Source organism: Homo sapiens, chromosome 1 (genome assembly GCF_000001405.40).
Source record: "Homo sapiens chromosome 1, GRCh38.p14 Primary Assembly".
NCBI lineage: Eukaryota > Metazoa > Chordata > Mammalia > Primates > Hominidae > Homo > Homo sapiens.
The window spans coordinates 28,552,797-28,575,910 of NC_000001.11; the positions used below are offsets into that span (position 1 = coordinate 28,552,797).

At 47.8% G+C, this 23,114-nt stretch overlaps 1 protein-coding gene across 2 annotated transcripts in view, besides 5 other annotated features; it reads left to right on the forward strand.

Annotated features, from left to right (window-relative positions):
* Nucleotides 1–295: an enhancer, noted in NCBI's record as "tiled region #11844; HepG2 Activating DNase unmatched - State 1:Tss, and K562 Activating DNase matched - State 1:Tss". NCBI's record gives its function as "activates a minimal TATA promoter and a strong SV40 promoter by Sharpr-MPRA in HepG2 and K562 cells {active_cell/tissue: HepG2 | K562}" and the evidence as "EXISTENCE:reporter gene assay evidence [ECO:0000049][PMID:27701403]".
* Nucleotides 1–368: a biological region, named in NCBI's record as "Sharpr-MPRA regulatory region 11844".
* Nucleotides 19–78: an enhancer, noted in NCBI's record as "active region_601". NCBI's record gives its function as "activates an Ori minimal core promoter by ATAC-STARR-seq in GM12878 lymphoblastoid cells {active_cell/tissue: GM12878}" and the evidence as "EXISTENCE:reporter gene assay evidence [ECO:0000049][PMID:35858748]".
* Nucleotides 229–368: a silencer, noted in NCBI's record as "silent region_543". NCBI's record gives its function as "represses an Ori minimal core promoter by ATAC-STARR-seq in GM12878 lymphoblastoid cells {active_cell/tissue: GM12878}" and the evidence as "EXISTENCE:reporter gene assay evidence [ECO:0000049][PMID:35858748]".
* Nucleotides 289–23,114, forward strand: part of TRNAU1AP (tRNA selenocysteine 1 associated protein 1) — a 25,461-nt gene continuing 2,635 nt past the window's right edge. Inside the window, exons 1-9 of one of the 2 annotated variants that reach the window (NR_003109.2) lie at nt 289–341; nt 844–941; nt 7,837–7,936; nt 8,317–8,464; nt 8,550–8,602; nt 11,907–12,038; nt 14,498–14,617; nt 18,380–18,542; nt 19,071–19,104. Coding sequence is in view for 1 of the 2 variants with exons in the window: in NM_017846.5 (NP_060316.1) it covers nt 315–341; nt 844–941; nt 7,837–7,936; nt 8,550–8,602; nt 11,907–12,038; nt 14,498–14,617; nt 18,380–18,542; nt 19,071–19,104 (727 nt within the window). In the remaining variant the exon portion in view is untranslated. The remainder of the gene's footprint in view (nt 342–843; nt 942–7,836; nt 7,937–8,316; nt 8,465–8,549; nt 8,603–11,906; nt 12,039–14,497; nt 14,618–18,379; nt 18,543–19,070; nt 19,105–23,114) is intronic. The other variant, NM_017846.5, reaches the window with a different exon arrangement.
* Nucleotides 1,301–1,595: a silencer, noted in NCBI's record as "tiled region #11894; HepG2 Repressive non-DNase unmatched - State 2:TssF". NCBI's record gives its function as "represses a minimal TATA promoter and a strong SV40 promoter by Sharpr-MPRA in HepG2 cells {active_cell/tissue: HepG2}" and the evidence as "EXISTENCE:reporter gene assay evidence [ECO:0000049][PMID:27701403]".

Genomic DNA, 23,114 nt, shown 5'->3' on the forward strand with positions numbered 1-23,114 from the left:
TTGTTTTCTAAATATATAAAGTCAGAAATAAACCCAAGTAACCCAGCCGCCTGGGCCAGGTGGTATCTGGCCCGCCCCATTCCAGCCTGAACTCCGCCCACCGCGATCCGGAAGCCTAGCGCCCAGTGGGTTGCAGGAAAAACCCGGAGCTGAACACACTGCCCGACCCGGGCCGCTGCGCTCGGGAGCCTGCGCAGAAGCCGTCGGAGGCGCATGCTCTGTAGCGGTCTCCGCAGCCAGGATTGGCGCCCGCGCGGGCCTTCGAGCCCCGCCCGCAGAGCCCCGCCCGCAAAGCCCCACCCCGGTGCGCGGGTATGGCGGCCAGCCTGTGGATGGGCGACGTGAGTGAGGGCAGCCGTCCGGGGTCTGAAGACAAGGAAGCATCTCGGTTTCGCGAGAGAGGAAGGATCTGAGTGGGAGGGGACTTGGGATCCCAGAAAGGGGAGACGTGTGACGGGGGTTCTTTTTGGTGACACAGAAGCGGGTTCCAGCATCTAAGTGAAGAGGCTGAGTCCGTGAGGCTAGGGGTCCTGGGGCCCCACCTGGGTTCGTGGGAGGGAAAGGTGGTGCTTTGGGGACATAGAATGGGAGCAATCCAAGGACTGAGGCGCGCTGTTCTGGGACCGGAGGAGTGGGGTTTCTAGGTCCAAGGGGAGGCTCCCTAAAGCGGGGCAAGCTTGAACCAAAAGAGCTGGGGTTTCAGGCCGCTCAGTGGAGGCGAACCTCGCCCCTCGCTCCCCCAGCGGCGCGTAGCCAGCCCTGGGCTGAACGGGAGGGGCTCTGGAACCCGGAGTGGGAAGCCCGGCCGCCGGCCTGAGCCGCTGTGCTCTTGTTTTTACGCAGCTGGAACCCTACATGGATGAGAACTTCATCTCCAGAGCCTTTGCCACCATGGGGGAGACCGTAATGAGCGTCAAAATTATCCGAAACCGCCTCACTGGGTAAGTCTCATCTCAGGTCTCTCTTAATACATCTCGTTGCAGCTGTCATGTACGAGAATGTAAACATCGTAGTCATGGCTTCTCACTACCCCTAGTAATAGTCACTGTAAAATTATAACAGCTAACATTTTGAGGTCCCAATGAGTGGAAGGATGGCATGTAGCTTAAGGGTAGGACTTGCCAGGCGTTGTGACTCACACCTGTAATCCCAGCACTTTGGGAGGCTGAGGTGGGTGGATCACCTGAGGTCAGGAGTTTGAGACCAGCCTGGCCAACATGGTGAAACCCCGTCTCTACTAAAAATACAAAAATTAGCCGGGTGTGGTGGCAGGCACCTGTAACCCCAGCTACTCCGGAGGCTGAGGCATGAGAATCACTTGAACCCGGGAGGCGAAGGTTGCAGTGAGCTGAGATCGTGCCACTGTACTTCAGCTTGGACAACAAGAGCAAAACAATGTCTCAAAAAAAAAAAAAACAAAAAAACAAAAAACGCAGGACTCAAGCGAGACTGGGTTTGAAAGCTATTTCTACTCTATGACCTTGGGTAAGTTACTTAACTGCTCTGTCTCATTCACTTTGAGTATAAAAATGGAAATAACAGCACCTACCTCCTAGAGTTATGGTGAGGATTAAATGAGTTAATTCACATTCATCATTAGGACAGTGTATGGCATATAGCATATGCTCAGTAAGTATAGTCAGATTACGATCTGCTGAGTAATAAGCAGTTTACATCCATTATCTCCTTAAAACCTCAGAAACTTCTGAGGTAGGTAAATACTATTATGAAGAGGCTTAATAACTTGAAGAGTTACAATAAATAGCCGGGCGCAGTGGCTCTCGCCTGTAATCCTAGCACTTTGGGAGGCCGAGGCAGGCCGGATCACGAGGTCAGGAGATTGAGACCATCCTGGCTAACACGGTGAAACCCCATCTCTACTAAAAATACAAAAAAAATTAGCTGGGCATGGTGGCGGGCACTTGTAGTCTCAGCTACTTGGGGGGCTGAGGCAGGAGAATGGCGTGAACCCAGGAGGCGGAGCTTGCAGTGAGCCGAGATCGCTCCACTCCACTCCAGCCTGGGCGACAGCTGAGACTCTGTCTCAAAAAAAAAAAAAAAGAGTTATAATAAATAACAAGTCAGGACTTGAATTCGAGTCTATCCTGAAAGCTCATGAGGGCCCTTAACTCTTATGCCATTCATTTAAAAAATTGTGGAGGATGGGTGCGGTGCCTCATGCCTGTAATCCCAGCACTTCGGGAGGCGAGAAGGGTGGATCACCTGAGGTCAGGAGTTGGAGACCAGCCTGACCAACATGGAGAAACCCTGTCTCTACCAAAAATTAGCCAGGCGTGGTGGTGCATGCCTGTAATCCCAGCTACCTGGGAGGCTGAGGCAGGAGAATCGCTTGAACTTGGGAGGCAGAGGTTGTAGTGAGCCGAGATCGCGCCATTGCACTCCAGCCTGGGCAATAAGAGCGAAACTCCATCTCAAAAAAAAAAAAAAAATTATCTGTGGAGATACTACTGTGTTCTACTGTTATACATTCCTGGCTGAAATAATCCAGATATAGCCCCTGCTCATGGAGTTTACTACATTCTAGTGGGGAATGAGACAATAAATAAGTAAACATAACCAAATGCGTATTTTCAGATAGAGGTTCTCTATTGCCTCCATGTTCTTCTTTCTCTTTGAGGTCTTAGTTTTCCTTAGGGAATTATCAATTTGTCAGTGTTTATCAAGCAGCTACTCTTTTCCTTTTTTTTTTTTTTTTGAGACGGAGTCTCGCTCTGTCACTACCCAGGTTGGAGTGCAGTGGCGCGATCTTGGCTCACTGAAAGCTCCGCCTCCTGGGTTCACGCCATTCTCCAAGCAGCCACTCTTTTCTCGGTACTCTACTACATGTGGCTTGCTAAAACATCAAATGGTTTAAAAATAGAGATGAGACATTTGAAAGATACTTTGTGTATTCAGAACCCCATTACCTAGGAAAAGGTTTTTCTGACTGGTAGATCGTGCCCACCTAAATATTTCTCTTCTTGCTCTTCTAAGCAGAAAACCCCAGATAATCAGCTACTGGTATGAAAATTCATTCTGTAACCTTTCTCATTTTTTTTTCTTTTTTTTTTTTTTGAGACGGAGTCTTGCTCTGTGGCCCAGGCTGGTGTGCAGTGGCACGATCTCGGCTCACTGCAAGCTCCACCTCCTGGGTTCAAGCCATTCTCCTGCCTCAGCCTCCCAAGTAGCTGGGACTACAGGCGCCCGCCACCACGCCAGGCTAATTTTTTGTATTTTTAGTAGAGATGGGGTTTCACCATGTTAGCCAGATGGTCTCAATCTCATGACCTCGTGATCCGCCTGCCTTGGCCTCCCAAAGTGCTGGGATTACAGGTGTGAGCCACCGCGCCCGGCCCCTTTCTACTTTTTAAAACACTGGCATAGGCTGGGCACGGTAGCTCACACTTGTAATCCCAGCACTTTGGGAGGCTGAGGTGGGCAGATCACTTGAGGTCAGGAATTTGAGAACAGCCTGGACAACATGGTGAAACCTTGTCTCTACTAAAAAAATACAAAAATTAGCCAGGTGTGGTGAGACACACCTGTAATTCCAACTACTTGAGAGGCTGAGGAAGGAGAATCGTTTGAACCCAGGAGGTAGAGGTTGCAGTGAGCCGAGATTGTGCCACTGTGCTCCAGCCTGGGTGACAGAGGGAAACTTTGTTGCAAAAATAAATAAGTAAAACACTGGCATAGATTCTCACATTTTAATCTTTTTTTTTTTTTTTTTTCTGAGGCATAGTCTCCCTCTGTTGCCCAGGCTGAAGTGCAATGGCACCATCTTGGCTCACTGCAACCTCCGCCTCCTGGGTTTAAGCCCTTCTCCTCTCTCAGACTCCTGAGTAGCTGGGATTACAAGCACCTGCCACCACGCCCAGCTCATTTTTTTTGTTTGTTTGTTTTTTGAGACGGAGTCTCGCTCTGTCACCCAGGCAGGAGTGCAGTGGTGCGATCTCAGCTCACTGCAACCTCTGCCTCCCAGGTTCAAGCGATTCTCCTGCCTCAGCTTCCTGAGTAGGTGGGACTACAGCCGTGTGCCACCACATCCAGCTAATTTTCTGTATTTTTAGTAGAGATGGGATTTCACTGTGTTAGCCAGGATGGTCTCAATCTTCTGACCTCTGCCTGCCTCAGCCTCCCAAAGTGCTGGGATTACAGGCGTGAGCCACTGCGCCCGGCCTAATTTTTTCTATTTTTAGTATAGATGGGATTTCACTGTGTTGGCCAGGCTAGCCTCGAACTCCTGACCTCAGGTGATCTGTCCGCCTCAGCCTCCCAAAGTGCTGGATTACAGGCATGAGCCACTGGGACCAACCTTACTGTTTATTGAAATAAGATATGGGCCAGGCACAGTGGCTCACACCTGTAATCCCAGCACTTTGGGAGGCCGAGGCAGGCGGATCACGAGGTCAGGAGATCGAGACCATCCTGGCTAACACAGTGAAACCCCGTCTCTACTAAAAATACAAGAAAATTAGCCAGGCATGGTGGCGGGCGCCTGTAGTCCCAGCTACTCGGGAGGCTGAGGCAGGAGAATGGCGTGAACCCGGGAGGTGGAGCTTGCAGCGAGCGGAGATCACACCACTGCACTCCAGCCTGGGCGACAAAGTGAGACTCTGTCTCAAAAAAAAGAAAAGAAATAAGATATGGAACTCTTGTTTCTTACATGTTTCTTTTTTTTTTTTTTTTTTTTACTTTGAGGCAGAGTTTCGCTCTTGTCACCCAGACTATATTACATATTATTTTTCCTTGGGTCTTATCTTTTCTCCTTTTCTATAATCTTGGTGTTTTGTTTTGTTTTGTTTTCTTTTGAGACAGAGTCTTGCTCTGTCACCAAGCAGGAGTGCAGTGGCGCAATCTTAGCTCACTGCAATCTGCACCTCTCGGGTTCAAGCCATTCTCCTGCCTCAGCCTCCCGAGTAGCTAGGACTACTGGCACATACCACCATGCCCAGCTAATTTTTGTATTCTTATTACAGACAGGTTTTCACCATGTTGGCCAGGATAGTCTCGATCTCTTGACCTCGTGATCCACCCACCTTGGCCTCCCAAAGTTCTGGGATTACAGGCGTGAGCCACCGCTCCCGGCCAACACCCAGCTAATTTTTTTTTTTTTGGTTTGAGGCAGAGTCTCTGTCGCCCAGGCTGGAGTGCAGTGGAATGATCTCGACTCACTGCAACCTCCACCTCCCAAATTCAAGCAGTTCTCCTGCCTCAGCCTCCTGAGTAGCTGGGATTACAGTCATGTGCCACTATGCCTGGCTAATTTTTTTTTTTTTTTTTTTTTTGTTTAGTAGAGACAGGGTTTCACCATGTTGGTCAGAACTCCTGACCTCCTGATCCACCCGCCTTGGCCTCCCAACGTGTTGGAATTACAGGCGTGAGCCACTGTGCCCAGCCCGCCCTGCTAATTTTTGTATTTTTTTTTTTTTTTTTTTGAGATGGAGTCTGGCTGTGTTGCCAGGCTGGAGTGCAGTGGCGTGATGTTGGCTCACTGCAACCTCTCCCTCCGGGTTCAAGCAATTCTTGTGCCTCAGCCTCCCGAGTAGCTGGGATTACAGGCACACACCACCCCACCCAGCTAATTTTCGTATATTTTTTTTTTGTTTGTTTTTGAGACCCAGTCTCACCGTGTCATCCAGGCTGGAGTGCATTGATGCGATCTCAGCTCACTGCAACTTCCGCCTCCCGCGTTCAGGCAATTTTCCTGCCTCAGGCTCCCGAGTAGCTGGGACTACAGGCACACACCACTACGCCCGACTAATTTTTTTTTTTTTTTTTTTTTTGAGACGGAGTCTCATTCTGTCGCCCAGGCTGGAGTGCAGTGGCGTGATGTCTGCTCACTGCAAGCTCTGCCTCCTGGGTTCACGCCATTCTCCTGCCTCAGCCTCCCTAGTAGCTGGGACTATAGGTGCCCGCCACCACGCCTGGCTAATTTTTTTGCATTTTTAGTAGAGATGGGGTTTCACTGTGTTAGCCAGTATGGTCTCAGTCTCCTGACCTCGTGATCCGCCCGCCTCGGCCTCCCAAAGTGCTGGGATTACAGGCGTGAGCCACCGCGCCTGGCGAAACTGGACGTTTTCTTACATAACCACAATGCTTATATCACACTAACAAAATTATCAGTGATTCTCTAATACCATATCATAGCAGGTCTACATTTAAATTTTTATAATTGTCCCCACAATATTGATAGTTTTTCATTTATTAGTGAATTATAATTCAATCCAGGAACCTGCATTGCATTTGGTTCTTCTGAGTCTCTTTTATTTTTATTTATTTTTTATTTTTTTGAGACAGAGTCTTGTTCTGTCGCCCAGGCTGGAGTGCAGTGGCGCGATCTCGGCTCACTGCAGCCTCTGCCTCCCGGGTTCAAGCAATTCTCCTGCCTCAGCCTGCCGAGTAGCTGGAACTACAGGCGCCTACCACCATGCCTGGCTAATTTTTTGAGTCTCTTTTAATGTATAAAAGCCAACCTCTTTTTTTCCTCATACTATTTAACTTTTTAAGGAGGTAAGACTAGTTGTCTTTATAAGAGCCTATATTCTGAGGCTGGGTGCGGTAGCTCATGCCTGTAATCCTAGCACTTTGAGAGGCCGAGGCGGGCAGATCACCTGAGGTCGGGAGTTCAAGACCAGCCTGACCAATATGGAGAAACCCCATCTCTACTGAAAATACAAAATTAGCTGGGCATGGTGGCGCATGCCTGTAATTCCAGCTACTTGGGAGGCTGAGGCAGGAGAATCGCTTGAATCTGGGAGGTGGAGGCAGGAGAATCGCTTGAACCCAGGAGGTGGAGGTTGCAGTGAGCCAAGATTGCGTCATTGCACTCCAGCCTGGGCAACAAGAGCAAAACTCGGTCTCAGAAAAAAAAAACAGATCATACATTCTGCATTCATTTGTTTACTTGTGGTGTTTTGCATAGTCTATCTCTAAAATTTCCTGGAACTGGTTATTAGATCTAAAGTCTTGATGGGATTGCATAATACAATTTTGACAAGAGTATTCACACATGATAAAATGCATAAATGAATGTTTACTAAATGAGTCTGGGGCCAGGTGCCTTGGCTCATGCCTGTAATCCCGGAACTTTGGGAGGCCGAAGTGGGTGGATCTCCTGAGGTCAGGAGTTCAAGATCAGCCTGGCCAACATGGCAAAATCCCATCTCTACTAAAAATACAAAAATTAGCCAGGCATGGTGGTGGGTACCTGTAATTCCAAGTGTTCATGAGGCTGAGGCAGGATAATTGCTTGAACCTGAGAGGCAGAGGTTATAGTGAGCTGAGATCGAGATGATATCCGTCTCATAAATAAATAAATAAATACAGATAAACGAATCTTGGACTGGCCCAGATGGACAATCCTTATATTCAGGCTTGTAAATTAGGTCTGAGCTGGGGTATGGCAGGGAACAAAAACAGTGTTGGCTCAGATTAGAAAAACATTTCTTTCTCCCTTCAAGGCCAAGACCCATCTTGAGCCTTTTTTTTTTTTTTTTTAAAACAGTCTCAAACCAGCCTGTTGCTCAGGCTGGAGCAGTGTGGCATGATCTCAGCTCACTGCAACCTCCACCTCCTGGGTTACAGCAATTCTCCCCCTCAGTCTCCCGAGTAAGCTGGGACTACAGGTGTGCGCCGCCATGCCCAGCCAATTTTTGTATTTTTAGTAGAGATGGTGTTTCAGCATGTTGTCCAGGCTGGTCTCCTGACCTTCAGTGATCCACCTGCCTTGGCCTCCCAAACTGTTGGGATTATATGCGTGAGCCATCACGCCTGGCCTCATCTTGAGCCATTTTATCTTTAACCATTTTCTTTCTCTATTTGCTTTTTTTCCAGGATCCCAGCTGGCTACTGCTTTGTAGAATTTGCAGATTTGGCCACAGCTGAGAAGTGTTTGCATAAAATTAATGGGAAACCCCTTCCAGGAGCCACACCTGTAAGGACATTTAGATAATGATGATGTTGCCATTATTATTGTCATTGCTTACTACCATCTATTGAATCCCTACTGTATACTTATTTTATTTAATCCTAAAACAACCCTTTACAGTAGGCATTGTTATCTTTGTAGGCCCAGGAAACTGAAGCTCAGGGAATTGAAATAACTTGTCCAAGGCAACACAGGTAGTAAATGGCAGAGCCAGGATTCAGACTGAAGATTGGTTGCCTCCCAAATCCATGCCTTTCCATTCTGCATTGCTGCCTCCCATAACCGAAGACTTGAAACTCTAGACCTCTTGCCTGATTGGGAAACTAGAATAGGCTGGCAGCAGCAAGGACACATTTCAAGAGAGTTGCATTCTGCTCTTCCCACAGTTACTTAGCTTACAGCTGCACCAGCTGGCACACCTGGGCTCATAGAACCATGGAGCTGGCAGTGCCCTTAGCGGTCATCCGTGCAACCCCCTCATTTTATACAGGAGAAAAAGCTGAGGCTTAGAGAGGGGGAGATGTTTTGGCCAAGGTAATTTATTTCAGTTTTCTTCAAATATTGTTCAACTCTTGAAACACCTTTCTCTGTTTTAGTTTGTTTGTTTTTCAACTTCCAGGCGAAACGTTTTAAACTGAACTATGCCACTTACGGGAAACAACCAGATAACAGGTAGGTACAAAGTCATGTCTAGACAGACATAAGATGTGTCACTGTGCCTGTCACTGCCATATAGGAGGAGGGGAGCCGGTTTGGCTGCACTTGGTTCCCTCCTGAAGGACGACGCTCTTCTCCCTTCCTTGCTGGTGGACCTTCCTGGTGTGCTTCATGCAAGACCCTGGCTTTTCTGTATTTGGTCCCTGCCCCTGGCTTCCTACCCTGCTACTCCTCACAGTATTGAAGTTTTATTCAATAAGAATTGCCTTGTTAGCCAGGTGCAGTGGCTTACGCCTGTAATCCCAGCACTTTGGGAGGCCGAAACAGGCAGATTGCCTGAGCCTAGGAGTTCAAGAATAGCCTGGGCAACATGGCAAAACCCTGTCTCTACAAAAAAATACAAAAATGGCCGGGTGTGGTGGCTCACTCCTATAATCCCAGCACTTTGGGAGGCCAAGGCGGGCGGATCACGAGGTCAGGAGATCGAGACCATCCTGGCTAACACGGTGAAACCCCGTCTCTACTAAAAATACAACAAATTAGCCGGGCGTGGTGGCAGGCGCCTGTAGTCCCAGCTACTCAGGAGGCTGAGGCAGGAGGCTCACCTGAGCCCAGGGAGGGCTACAATGATCAAGGCTACTGTGAGCCATGATCGTGCCACTGCACTCCAGCCTGGGCAACAGAGTGAGACCCTGTCTTAAAAAAGAAACCCAATGAATTGACCTGTTATAGCAACATAAATTGATTGGAATTTCAGGTTGCCATTTGAAAGCATTAAAACGGTGTACCAAAAGCTTAAAAAACATTTATATGCATTAACCCTATAATTCTACTTTTCAGTATTTATTCATGGACGTGTGCAAAGATTAGCCTCAGATGTATTCATTGAAGTATTGTGTATAATAGCTAAAGTTGGGGAAAACCCAAATAACCTAATAGTAGGGAAGTGATTAAATTATGGTCATTAGTTAGGATGCGGTGTATCCACTGACAAGTCATTGCAGTATACTGACATGTCAAGATATTGGCAATATGTTGAAAATGAAAAAAAATACTAGAAACAAAATACGATGGATCGTATTTATGAACATTTAGAAGAAAAGCCACAAGAAAAGACAAAAGTATACATATCAAAGCATTTATTGTGATTGTCTTCAAGTGGTTGAGTTATAGCAATTTTATTTTTCTTTGCACTTTTGTGTTTTTTTTTTTTTGGAGACGGAGTCTCACTCTGTTGCCCAGGCTGGCGTGCAGTGGCACGATCTCTGCTCACTGCAAGCTCCGCCTCCCGGGTTCATGCCGTTCTCCTGCCTCACCCTCCCGAGTAGCTGGGACTACAGGTGCCTGCCACCACGCCTGGCTAAATTTTTTGTATTTTTAGTAGAGACAGGGTTTCACCGTGTTAGCCAGGATGGTCTCGATCTCCTGACCTCGTGATCTGCCCACCTCAGCCTCCCGAAGTGCTGGGATTACAGGCGTGAGCCATCGTGCCTGGACTGTGCTTTTGTGTATTCTTTTTTTTTTTTTTTTGAGATGGAGTCTCACTCTGTTGCCCAAGCTGGAGTGCAGTGGCATGATCTTGGCTCACTGCAATCTTTGCCGCCTGGGTCCAAGCAATTCTCCTGCCTCAGCCTCCCAAGTAGCTGGGATTACAGGCACCTGCCAATGCGCCCAGCTAATTTTTATATTTTTAGTAGAGATGGGGTTTCACCATCTTGGTCAGGCTGGTTTTGAACTCTTGACCTTGTGATCCACCTGCTTCGGTCTCCCAAAGTGCTGGGATTACAGGCATGAGCCACTGCGCCTGGCCTTGTGTATTCTTATTATACAAGGAATATGTATAATATGTATAATCATACCTGAAATAAGATAATAACAAAGGTAGGCCGGGTGCGGTGGCTCACGCCTGTAATCCCAGCACTTTGGGAGGCTGAGACGGGCAGATCACAAGGTCAGGAGTTTGAGGCCAGCCTGACCAACATAGAGAAACCCCGTCTCTACTAAAAATACAAAAATTGGCTGGGCGTGGTGGCTTACACCTGTAATCCCGGCACTTTGGGAGGCCGAGGAGGGTGGATCACCTGCGGTCGGGAGTTCGAGATCAGCCTGGCCAACATGGTGAAACCCCGTCTCTACTAAAAATACAAAAAATTAGTTGGGCGTAGTGGCGGGCACCTGTAATCCCAGCTACTCAGGAGGCTGAGGCAAGAGAATCGCTTGAACCTGAGAAGCAGAGGTTGCAGTGAGCTGAGATTGCGCCACTTCACTCCAGCTTAGGGGACAGAGCGAGACTCCGTCTCAAAAAAAAAAAAAAGGAAATTAGCTGGATGTAGTGGCATGTGCCTGTAGTCCCAGCCACTTGGGCGGCTGAGGCAAGAGAATCGCTTAAACCCAGAAGGCAGAGGTTGCAGTGAGCCGAGATCACGCCACTGCACTCCAGCCTAGGTGACAGAGTGATACTCCATTTCAACAAAAAGAAAAAAAAAATAACAAAGGTTTGTGTGTTCGTTTATTTTTTTAATAGAATTGACCTCCTATAATAGGAGTTGGTAAACTTTGGCCTGATTTGTATCACCCACAAGCTCGCAGTGGTTTAAGAGGTTGGGTATGGTAGCTCACACCTGTAATCCCAGCACTTTGGGAGGCTGAGGCAGGTGGATCATTTGAGGTCAGGAATTTGAGACCAGCGTGGCCAACTTGGCGAAACCCCGTCTCTGCTAAAAATACAAAAGATTAGCTGGGCGTGGTGGTGCGCACCTGTTATCCCAGCTGGTCGGCAGGCTAAGGTGTGAGAATCACTTGAACCTGGGAGACAGAAGTTGAAGTGACCCCAGATCACACCACTGCACTCCAGCCTGGGCAACGAGCAAAACTCCATCTCAGAAAAAAAGATTGGGGATTTAATTTTCGCTAGGCTTTACGTCCTTAGAAGATAAGATCTAGTTCTTTTTTTTCTGTCTTTTAACATTTATGTTTAAAATATACAAGGAATGCAGAATGCATTATTATGCTGTTTTTATGCAGTTTTATCTTTTGAGTGCCTTAGATGCACTTCTGACCCCATCCACACATCTGCACTCATGTAATACTTGAAGTCAGACAAGTTCTGTGGAGTGGGTGAGGGATTTGGGGCAGGGACTATTTCCCTAACTCTTCTGCCAGGACTGCTCTGATGAAACAAAGTAGGGGCTGGTTAAGTAGACCCATCAAATGTTTTCCTTAAGGGGCCTGGGAGAGGTTTACCTGGAATATGCAAAAGAGCTTTTCAGAGCAGAGGTTTTGGTCTTTGCCTCTGAATCTTCTTGTTCTCTCTCCTCAGCCCTGAGTATTCCCTCTTTGTGGGGGACCTGACCCCGGACGTGGATGATGGCATGCTGTATGAATTCTTCGTCAAAGTCTACCCCTCCTGTCGGGGAGGCAAGGTGGTTTTGGACCAGACAGGCGTGTCTAAGTAAGGCCTTACTTGTTACTGATGCTTAACTGTGTTAGTTTCAGCCTTTCTCTCCTGAGTGGAGGTGTTTTAGAAAGGCCCTGCAGCATGGCGATTAAGACCACAAGCTCTGGAGCCAAACTGCCTGGTTCAAATCCCAGCTCCAATACAGGTGAGGGAGAATGCCAGTATTGTAGAATTGAAGCTCTGTGACCCTTACAGCCCCATCTGTAAAATGGAGCTGATTAATAATAGCTGCTTGTAGGGTTGATGTAAGGATTAAAGGATATAATATAAGTAAGTCACATTTGAAATGCTTTATAGGTGTTTGCTGTTTTGCTTGTTATTGTTACTGAGCCTTTCAGTGTAGTTAGAAGTGTTCCACTTCAGGCTGGGCGTGGTGGCTCATGCCTGTAATCCTAACACTTTGAGAGGCCCAGGTGGGTGGATTGCGTGAGCTTAGGAGTTGGAGACCAGCCCGGGCAACACGGTGAAATGCCGTCTCTATTAAAATACAAAAAATTAGCCGGATGTGGTGGTGTGCACCTGTAGTCCCAGCTACTTGGGAGGCTGAGGTAGGATAATTGCTTTAACCTGGAAGGCGGAGGTTGCAATGAGCCAAGATTGTGCCACTGCACTCCAGCCTGGGCAACAGAGCCAGACTCTGTCTCCATAAAAAAAAAAAAAAAGTTGGCCCGGCATGGTGGCTCACACCTGTAATCCCAGCACTTTGGGAAGCTGAGGTGGATGGATCACCTGAGGTCAGGACTTTGAAACCAGCCTGGCTAACATGGCAAAACCCCATCTCTACTAAAAAAATACAAAAGTTAGCCGGGCATGGTGGCATGCGCCTGTAGTCCCAGCTACTCGGGAGGCTGAGGCAGAATTGCTTGAATCCGGGAGGCAGAGGTTGCAGTGAGCTGAGATCACACAACTGTGCTCCAGCCTGGGTAACAGAGCAAGATTCTGTCTCAAATAAAAAAAAAAAGAAAAAATGGAAATCGAAGAACCTCAAGAAAGGCTCATTCTTGGTCAGTATGGTAGTTATATGCTCAGGCTTTGAGAGTGCAACAGGTGTGGCTTTGAATCATGCTTCTGCCATGACTTTGGGCAAGTTGTTAAATCTCACTGAACTGGTTACCTCTTCAGTAAATGTGGATACCACTTTCATGGAATTATTAGACAGTTTGATTAGATCACCCTGAGAAAATGCTCAGCACAGGCTGGGTGCGGTGGCTCACGCCTGTAATCCCAGCGCTTCGGGAGACAGGCGGGTGGATCACCTGAGGTCAGGAGTTCAAGACTAGCCTGGCCAACATGGTGAAACCCTGTCTCTACTAAAAATACAAAAATTAACCAGGCATGGTGGTGCGTGCCTGTAGTCACAGCTGCTCGGGAGGCTGAAGCAGAAGAATCGCTTCAACCTGGGAGGCCGAGGTTGCAGTGAGCCAAGATCGTGCCAGTGCATTCCAGCCTGGGAGACACAGCGAGACTCCATCTCAAAAAAAAAAAAAAAAAGAAGAGCCGGGCGTGGTGGCTGACACTTGTAATCCCAGCACTTTGGGAGGCTGAAGCAGATGGATCACCTGAGGTCAGGAGTTCGAGACCAGTCTGGCCAACATAGCGAAACCCAGGTCTCCACTTTAAAAAAAATACAGGCCAGGCGTGGTGGCTCATGCCTGTAATCCCAGCACTTTGGGAGGCCGAGGCGGGTGGATCATGAGGTCAGAAGATCGAGACCATCCTGGCTAACACGGTGAAACCCTGTCTCTACTAAAAAAATAAAATACAAAAAATCAGCTGGGCATGGTGGTGGGTGCCTGTAGTCCCAGCTACTCTGGAGGCTGAGGCAGAAGAATGGCGTGAACATGGGAGGCGGAGCTTGCAGTGAGCCGAGATCACGCCATTGCACTCCAGCCTGGGCAACAAGAGTGAAACTCCATCTCAAAAAAAAAAAAAAAAAGAGAGAGAAAATGCTCTGCGCAGTGCTAGGGAAATAAATATTTATTAAATGTTAGCTTGCATTAATTTATTCCTCTGCTAGAATTTGAGCTCAGGAGAGCAGGAACGTTGTCTTTCTGTGACTGCTGCATCCTGTGCGTAGCACAGTGCCTGGCATACAGGGCAGACTGTAAATATTTGCTGAATTTTCTTCTATGAGTTACTTTCCAGCAGGGTGTCGGGGAAGCTCCTATTTGGGAATGTTCCCTAGGGGTGAAGGTGTCGAGGAGGATGGTGAACTGAATGTGGGAATTCCTGCAGATATTAGAATTGTTTGTACTTGGATCTTGACACTATGTGGACACCTGTTGATGGGACTCTCCTTTCTTCCTCTAGTTTAATGGACTCTCTCTTTCTCTTCTCAGCCTCTTTTCCTTTCTACATTCCTGCCCACCTTCTTATCCTTACTTCTTTTTCATGTGTCCATTCTTAGACTTTAATCACATTTGTGATCTAAATTGTATATTTTTTTCATGCAGGGGTTATGGTTTTGTGAAATTCACAGATGAACTGGAACAGAAGCGAGCCCTGACGGAGTGCCAGGGAGCAGTGGGACTGGGGTCTAAGCCTGTGCGGCTGAGCGTGGCAATCCCTAAAGCGTGAGTCCTGCAGGGAAGGTAGAGAGACTCTAGACTCCCCTCCAGACACTCCTCTTTTGTTTGCTGAGAATCAGGGCATCCATACGCTGGATGGGAGGCTGAAGGGGATCCAATTCAAGTCACAAGTACTGAATGCCTGCTGTTTGCCAGGCTGTGGGTGCTGGGGTTGAACTAGCCCCACTCCTGCAGAAACTTAGAGTTGGGGATAGAGTATGATTTGGAAAGGCTGATGTATTCAGACATTACTGGTGACAGCATTGGAAAAGCTGTTTGGCTGTCCATACCTGATGTCCCTGTTCTTTGCCCAGTAGTCCCATTGTTGGGAACTTATTCATAGAATTAATAAGATTTGAATAAAGGGGAAAAAATTACTTCCATTTTTAGCCTTATTTATATTAATGAAACTACAGCCCTCCTATGAGTGTTCCATGCTGTGGGAATGGATAAGAATTAGTATTCCAGACACTTGGCCGGGCGCAGTGGCTCACACCTGTAACCCCAGGACTTTGGGAGGCTGAGGTGGGCGGATCACCTGAGGTCAGTAGTTCGAGACCAGCCTGGCCAACATGGCAAAACCTCATCTCTACTAAAAATACAAAAATTAGCCAGTCATGGTGGTGCATGCCTGTAGTCCCAACAACTCGGGAGGCTGAGGCAGGAGAATCGCTTGAACCTGGGTGGCGGAGGTTGCAGTGAGCCGAGATGGCATCAGTGCACTCTGGCCTGGGCAACGGAGCAAGACTCCGTCTCAAATAAAAAAGAAAAATTTTCCAGACACTCTACAGAACATTATATACTTCACTATCACACCTGTCATGCTAGGTAGAAAATCTTCTTCCCTTACAACTCCAAACTTTTCTCTGAATGGGATTTTTTGTTTGTTTGTTTTTTCCCTGAGTCAGGATCTCAAAGTCACCCAGGCTGGAGATCATGTCTCACTGCAGCCTCGACCTCCCCAGGCTCGGGATCCTCCCATCTCAGCCTCCTGATTAGCTGGTACTACAGGTGCACACCACCATGCTAGGCAAATTTTGTGTTTTTTGTAGAGATAGGGTCTTGCTTTGTTGCCCAGGCTGGTTTCGAATTCCTGGGCTCAAGCAATCTGCCCACCTTGGCCTACAAAAGTGTTGGGATTACAGGCATAAGCCATTGTGCCTGGCCAGATCTTTTATCCTTTAGCCAAATTAATGATTTTCAACTGGAGTGATTTTGCCTCCCAGAGGACATTGACAACATCTGGAGACATTTTTGGTTATCACAACCAAGGATGTACTAATGGCACCTAGTGGGTATCGGCCAAGGATACTGTTAAACATCATGCAATTCATCGGACAGCCACCCACCCCTCCACGTCAATAGATCCAGGGCTGAGAAACTCTACCCTAAGAGTAGTTGAACTATTTTTTTTTTTTTTTTGAGATGGTGTCTTGCTCTTTTGCCCATGCTGGAATGCAGTGGCGTGATCTTGACTCACTTCAGCTTCCACCTCCCAGGTTCAAGCGATTCTCCTGCCTCAGCCTCCCGAGTAGCTGGGACTACAGGCATGTGCCACCAAGCCCAGCTAATTTTTGTATTTTTAGTAGAGACAGGGTTTCACATGTTGATCAGGCTGGTCTTGAACTTCTGACCTCAGGTGATCTGCCTGCCTTGGCCTCTCAAAGTGCTGGGATTACAGGCGTGAGCCACTGCGCCCAGCCAAATAGCCATGTTTTTGAAAGCAATGATTTAGGGGTTCTTTATGGTTTAACTGTGTTTAATACATTGAAGATCAGGCTTAGTGACTTCTCCCAAAAATGTTATTTGTTGTAAATAAATTATTATATAAAAACATTAAATTAGCTGGGCTTGGTGTACTCCTCTAGTCCCAGCTGCTCTGGTGGCTGAAGTGGGAGAATTGATTGAGCCTAGGAGTTCAAGGTTACAATGAGCTATGATAACTCCACTGCACTCTAGCCCAGGCAACAGAGTGAGACCGTGTCTCTTAAAAAACAAAATAGGCTGGGCGTGGTGGCTCATGCCTGTAATCCCAGCACTTTGGGAGGCCGAGGTGGGTGGATCACAAGGTCAGGAGATCGAGACCATCCTTGCTAACATGGTGAAACCCCGTCTCTACTAAAAATACAAAAAATTAGCCAGGTGTGGTGGCGGGCACCTGTAATCCCAGCTACTCAGAGAGGCTGAGACCGGAGAATGGCATGAACCCAGGAGGCAGAGCTTGCAGTGAGCCAAGATTGTGCCACTGCACTCCAGCCTGGGTGACAGTGTGAGACTCCATCTCAAAAAAAAAAAAAGGCCAGGTGCAGTGGCTCACGCCTGTAATCCCAGCACTTTGGGAGGCCGAGGCGGGCAGATCACAAGGTCAGGAGATTGAGACCATCCTGGCTAACATGGTGAAACCCCGTCTCTACTAAAAATACCAAAAAAAAAAAAAAAAAAAATTAGCCGGGCGTGCTGGTGGGCGCCTATAGTCCCAGCTACTCGGGAGACTGAGGCAGGAGAATGGCATGAACCCAGGAGGCGGAGGTTGCAGTGAGCCGAGATCGCGCCACTGCACTCCAGCCTGGGCGACAGAGCAAGACTCTCTCAAAACAACAACAAAAAAAACGAAAACAAAAGGCGGGGTGCTGTGGCTCACGCCTGTAATCCCAACACTTTGGGAGGCTGAGTTGGGTGGATCACTTGAAGCCAGGAGTTCAAGACCACCCTGGCCAACATGGTGAAACCTCATCTCTGCTAAAAGTACAAAAATTAGCTGGGCCTCCCAGGATCAAGCGATTCTCCTTCCTTAGCCTCCCAAGTGGCTGGGATTATAGGCGTGAGCTACCACGTCTGTCTCTTTTCTTTTTTTTTTGAAACAGAGTTTCACTTTTATTGCCCAGACTGGAGTCCAGTGGCACAATCTAGGCCCATTGCAACCTCTGTCTCCCAGGTTCAAGCGATTCTCCTGCCTCAGCTTCACAAGCAGCTGGGATTGCGGGCGCGCCATCCCACCCAGCTAATTTTTTGTATTTTTAGTAGAGATGGGGTTTCACCATGTTGTCCAGGCTAGTCTTGGAACTCCTGACCTCAGGTGACCCACCTGCCTTCGCCTCCCAAAGTGTTGGGATTACAGGTGTGAGCCACCGCACCCAGCCCTTTTTTGTTTTGTTTTTTTTTTTAAACAGGATATCCTTTTGCCAGTCCTGACATAGTTTGTTAAGAGAGACAAACCTATCCATTAAAATCTCCTGTATTAAAAGCATGGTCTCTGGAGCCATACTCTCATATTAGCTGTGTGACTTTGGACAAATTACTTAACCTCTCTGTTCCTCAGTTTCCTTATCTGTAAAATAGGAATAATGATACACTTATTGCATATGGTTGTTTTGAGGATTAAAAGAGTTAATTGGTGGCCGGGCTCCCAGCACTTTGGGAGGCTGAGGCAGGCGGATCACGAGGTCAGGAGATCGAGACCAGCCTGGCTAACATGGTGAAACCCTGTCTCTACTGAAAATACAAAAAATTAGCCAGGCGTGGTGGCACACACCTGTAGTCCCAGCTACTCAGGAGGCTGAGGCAGGAGAATCGCTTGAACCCGGGAGGCGCAGGTTGCAGTGAGCCGAGATTGCGCCCCTGTACTCCAGCCTAGGCAACAGAGCAAGACTCTGTCTCAAGAAAAAAAAAAGTTAATCGGTATAAAGCACTTAAAATAGTCTGTGGCCACATAGGCAGTGTTACGGAAATGTTTGCTTACACTTATTTTTGTTTCTGTCTTCATTTAAGGAGCCGTGTAAAGCCAGTGGAATATAGTCAGATGTACAGTTATAGCTACAACCAGTATTATCAGCAGTACCAGAACTACTATGCTCAGTGGGGCTATGACCAGAACACAGGCAGCTACAGCTACAGTTACCCCCAGTATGGCTATACCCAGAGCACCATGCAGGTAACCATGACTTGGCAAGACTGGTCCCCTTGGGTTGTGTTTCTCCTCTAGAAACAGGTCATTCTCTAGGATGGGATTGGTAAGGACAGGGGCTTGGGCTTCAGAAAAAATAGGGAAAGTTGAAGCAGTCCAGTTCCTCTTGTTAAAAATAAGCCATTGTGGGTAGGGCCCAGTGGCTCACACCTGTAATCCTAGCACTTTGAGAGGCCGAGGCAGGTAGATCACCTGAGGTCAGGAGTTCAAAACCAGCCTGGCCAACATGGTGAAACCCTGTATCTACTAAAAATACAAAAAATTAGCTGGGCATAGTGGCAGGCGCCTATAATCCCAGCTGCTCAGGAGACTGAGGCAGGAGAATCTCTTGAAACTGGGATGCGGGTGTTGCAGTGAGCCGAGATCACGCCACTACACTCTAGTCTGGGTGACAGAGCTAGACTCCACCTCAAAAAAAATAAAAAATATAAGCCACTGTGGTCCTGGGCCAGGATTTCACCATGCCCCTAACCCACATCTCTGGTCTCTTGGCAGACATATGAAGAAGTTGGAGATGATGCATTGGAAGGTAAGGGTTCATACGTTCCTTACTCTGTCAGCCATTATCAGGTGACTGCTGTGGCTGGCACTGTGCTCTCAGCTAGAGGGAAGACAAGATAAATTCTGCTCTGGAAGAACTTACATTCTGGTTAGAGAGCCAGACAAATATGTAATTATGGTAAGATGTGTCGGGTGTTACCCAGAGGTGTAAGTGTAGATCCCAGAGAGCCTGGGACAGGCAGCTCCAGGAGAGCCCATCACCCCCTTGACATGTGGCATTCTATCCTGGTATGTGGGCCTCTAACGATAATACTGTTACCCTTTTTTTGTGTGTGTGTGTGGTGGAGTTTCACTCTTGTTGGCCAGGCTGGAGTGCAATGGCATGATCTCAGTTCACCGCAACCTCCACCTGCCAGGTTCAAGCAATTCTCCTGCCTCAGCCTCCCGAGTAGCTGGGATTACGGGCATGCACCACCATGCCCAGCTAATTATTTTGTATTTTTAGTAGAGACAGGGTTTCTCCATGTTGGCTTGGCCGGTCTCAAACTCTCAGCCTTAGGTGATCCGCCCGCCTCAGCCTCCCAAAGTGCTGGGATTACAGGCATGAGCCACTGTGCCTGGCCGATAATACTGTTACCTTTTATTTGTTTGACTGTTTGTAAAATTCATTTTTTATTTATTTTATTTTTTTTCTGTTTTTCAATATATTTTAAAAGACATATTTTCCTGATTTTTAAGTCATCGTTAGGATGGAAAATTTGGAAAATATAGTAAAGTATGGGCCAGGCATGGTGGCTCACGCCTCTAATCCCAGCACTTTGGGAGGCCGAGGCAGGTGGATTGTGAGGTCAGGAAATCGAGACCATCCTGGCTAACACGGTGAAACCCCGTCTCTACTAAAAAATAGAAAAAATTAGCCGGGTGTGGTGATGGGCGCCTGTAGTCCCAGCTACTCGGGAGGCTGAGGCAGGAGAATGGCGTGAACCCGGGAGGCAGAGCTTGCAGTGAGCCGAGATCGCACCAATGGGCTCCAGCCTGGGAGACAGAGCGAGACTCCGTCTCAAAAAAAAAGAAAAAGAAAATATAGTAAAGTATAATGAAACTGAAAATCACCCCATATCCTATTACAACATAGTAATAGCCATTATTAATTTTTTCTTTTTCTTTTTTTTTTTTTTTTGAGGCAGAGTCTTGCTGTGTCACCCAGACTGGAATGCAGTGGCGCAATCTCATCTCACTGCAAGCCCGCCTCCCGGGTGCAAGTGATTCTCCTGCCTCAGCCTCCCGAAGAGCTGGGATTTCAGGCACATGCCACCACGCCCAGCTAATTTTTGTATTCTTAGTAGAGACGGGGTTTCACCATCTTGGCCAGGCTAGTCTCAAACTCGACCTCGTGATCCGCCTGCCTCGCCTCCCAAAGTGCTGGGATTACAGGGGTGAGCCACCGTGCCCAGCCCATTATTAATTTTTTAATTAAAAATATTTAAGCCTTGCACGGTGGCTCACCCCTGTAATCCCAGCCCTTTGGGAGGCCAAGGAGGGTGAATCATGAGGTTAAGAGATCGAGACCATCTTGGCCAACATGGTGAAACCCCGTCTCTACTAAAAATAAAAAAATTGCCAGGCGCGGTGGCTCACCCCTGTACTCCCAGCACTTTGGGAAGCCACGGCGGGAGGATCACCTAAGGTCGGAAGTTCTAGACCAGCCTGGCCAACATGGTGAAATTCTGCCGGTACTAAAAATAAAAAAATTAGCCAGGCGTGGTGTTGCGCGCCTATAATCTCACCTCCTCAGGAGGCTGAGGCAGGAGAATCACTTGAACCCGGGAGGCGGAAGTTGCAGTGAGTCGAGATCATACCACTGTACTCCAGCCTGGGCAACAGTGCAAGACTCTGTCTCAAAAAAAAAAAAAAATTATCCAGGCATGGTGGCCCATGCCTGTAATTCCAGCTCCTTGGGAGGCTGAAGCAGGAGACTCACTTGAACCCGGGAGATGGAGGTTTCGGTGAGCCAAGAATGCTCCATTGCAGTCCATCCTGGGTGACGAGAGTGAAACTCCGTCTCAAAAAAAAAAACAACAGTATTTACTGTCTAGGCACGGTGGCTAAAGCCTGTAAGGTCTTTGGAAGGCCAACGTGGGTTGGAGGATGGCTTGAGCCTAGAACTTTGAGACCAGCCTGGGCAACATAACGAGACCCCATCTCTTTTTTTTTTTTTTTTTTTGGGAGACGGAGTCTTGCTCTGTCACCCAGGCTGGAGTGCAGTGGTGCAGTCTCCAATCTCAGCTCATTGCAACCTCTGCCTCCCAGGTTCAAGTGATTCTCCTGCCTCAGCCTCCTGAGTAGCTGGGATTACAGGCATGCACCACCACGCTCGGCTAATTTTTGTATTTTTAGTAGAGACAGGGTTTCAGCATGTTGGCCAGGCTGGTTTCGAACTCCTTACCTCAAGTAATCCTCCCGCCTCAGCCTCCCAAAGTGCTTTGATTACAGGCATGAGCCACTGTGCCCGGCCAAGTATTTATAATTTTCACTGAATTTCACAGAAGAAAAAGGAAAGAAAAACTGAAAGCCAAGCATGGTGGCCTGTGGTTCCAGCTACTTGGGGGAGGCTGAGGCAGGAGGATTGCTTGGGCCCAGGAGGTTGAGGCTTCAGTGAGCTGTGACTACAGTTGTGCCCCACCATAACTGGCTATTTTTTTCTATTTTTTTGTAGAGGCAGGGTTTCACCATGTTGCCCAGGCTGGTCTTGAACTCCTAGGTTCAAGTGATCTGCCCATCTCGGCCTTCCAAAGTGCTGGCATTATAGGCATGAGCCACTGCTCCTGGCCAAAACTTTTTTTGAGGTACAAAAAGACTCAAAGTTTGAAATCTGTTTTGAGGATTCGTCTTCAAGAGAAAGTCATAGGGAAAATGTTTTCTGTCAAGAAAATGTTCGTTAAAGGAAACAGATCCCTTTTAGGGCATGAACAAACTTGTCTAGTTCATAACATTTTAAAGCACTTTCTTGTGTCCTCTCATGTGATGCCAACTGTAGTGACCTTGTGGGGTGGGCTGGGAAGGACACAGGAGCTCCATTTCACAGATGGGAAACTAGTGGCTCGGAAAGCCCAAGTGATCTGCTGAGGGTCACACAGTGTGGGGCAAAGTCAGGACAGTCCGGTCTTTTTATATTCAAGTCTCTAGTTGTTTCCCCCTGGGAGACATTGCCTTCTTTCTAGAGATAATTAGCCTCATAATATCTGTAGATAAGTCCTTAGAATTTTCCAATCTCTTTTTAATCCTTTTTTTGTTTTCTTTTTCTTGAGAGTCTTGCTCTGTCACCAGGCTGGAGTTCAGTGGCACGATCTCGACCCACTGTAACCTCTGCCTCACAGGTTCAAGCGATTCCCCTGCCTCATCCTCCTGAATAGCTGGGACTACAGATGCGCGCCACCACGCCCAGCTAATTTTTGTATTTTTAGTAAAGATGGGGTTTCACCATGTTGGCCATGATGGTCTCTATCTTTTGACCTCATGATCCGCCCGCCTCTGCCTCCCAATGCTGGGATTACAGGTGTGAACCACTGCGCCAGGCCCAATGTTTTTTTTTGTTTTTTTTTTTTTTGAGACGGTGTCTCACTCTTGTTGCCCAGGCTGGAGTGCAGTGGCGCGATCTCAGCTCACTGCAACCTCCGCCTCCCGGGTTCAAGTGATTCTTCTGCCTCAGCCTCCCGAGTAGCTGGGATTACAGGCATGCGCCATCATGCCCAGCTAATTTTCTTTTTTTCTTTTTTTGAGACGGAGTCTTGCTCTGTCGCCCAGGCTGGAGTGCAGTGGCGCAATCTCGCATGCCCAGCTAATTTTCTATTTCTATTTTTCTAACCCCATAAAGATGGGGTTTCTATGTTGGTCAGGCTGGTCTCAAACTTCTGACCTCAGGTGGTCCGCCCACCTTGGCCTCCCAAAGTGCTGGGATTACAGGCTTGAGCCACTGCGCCTGGCTTTTTTTTTTTTTTTTTTTTTTGAGATAGAGTCTTTGCTCTGTCGCCAGGCTGG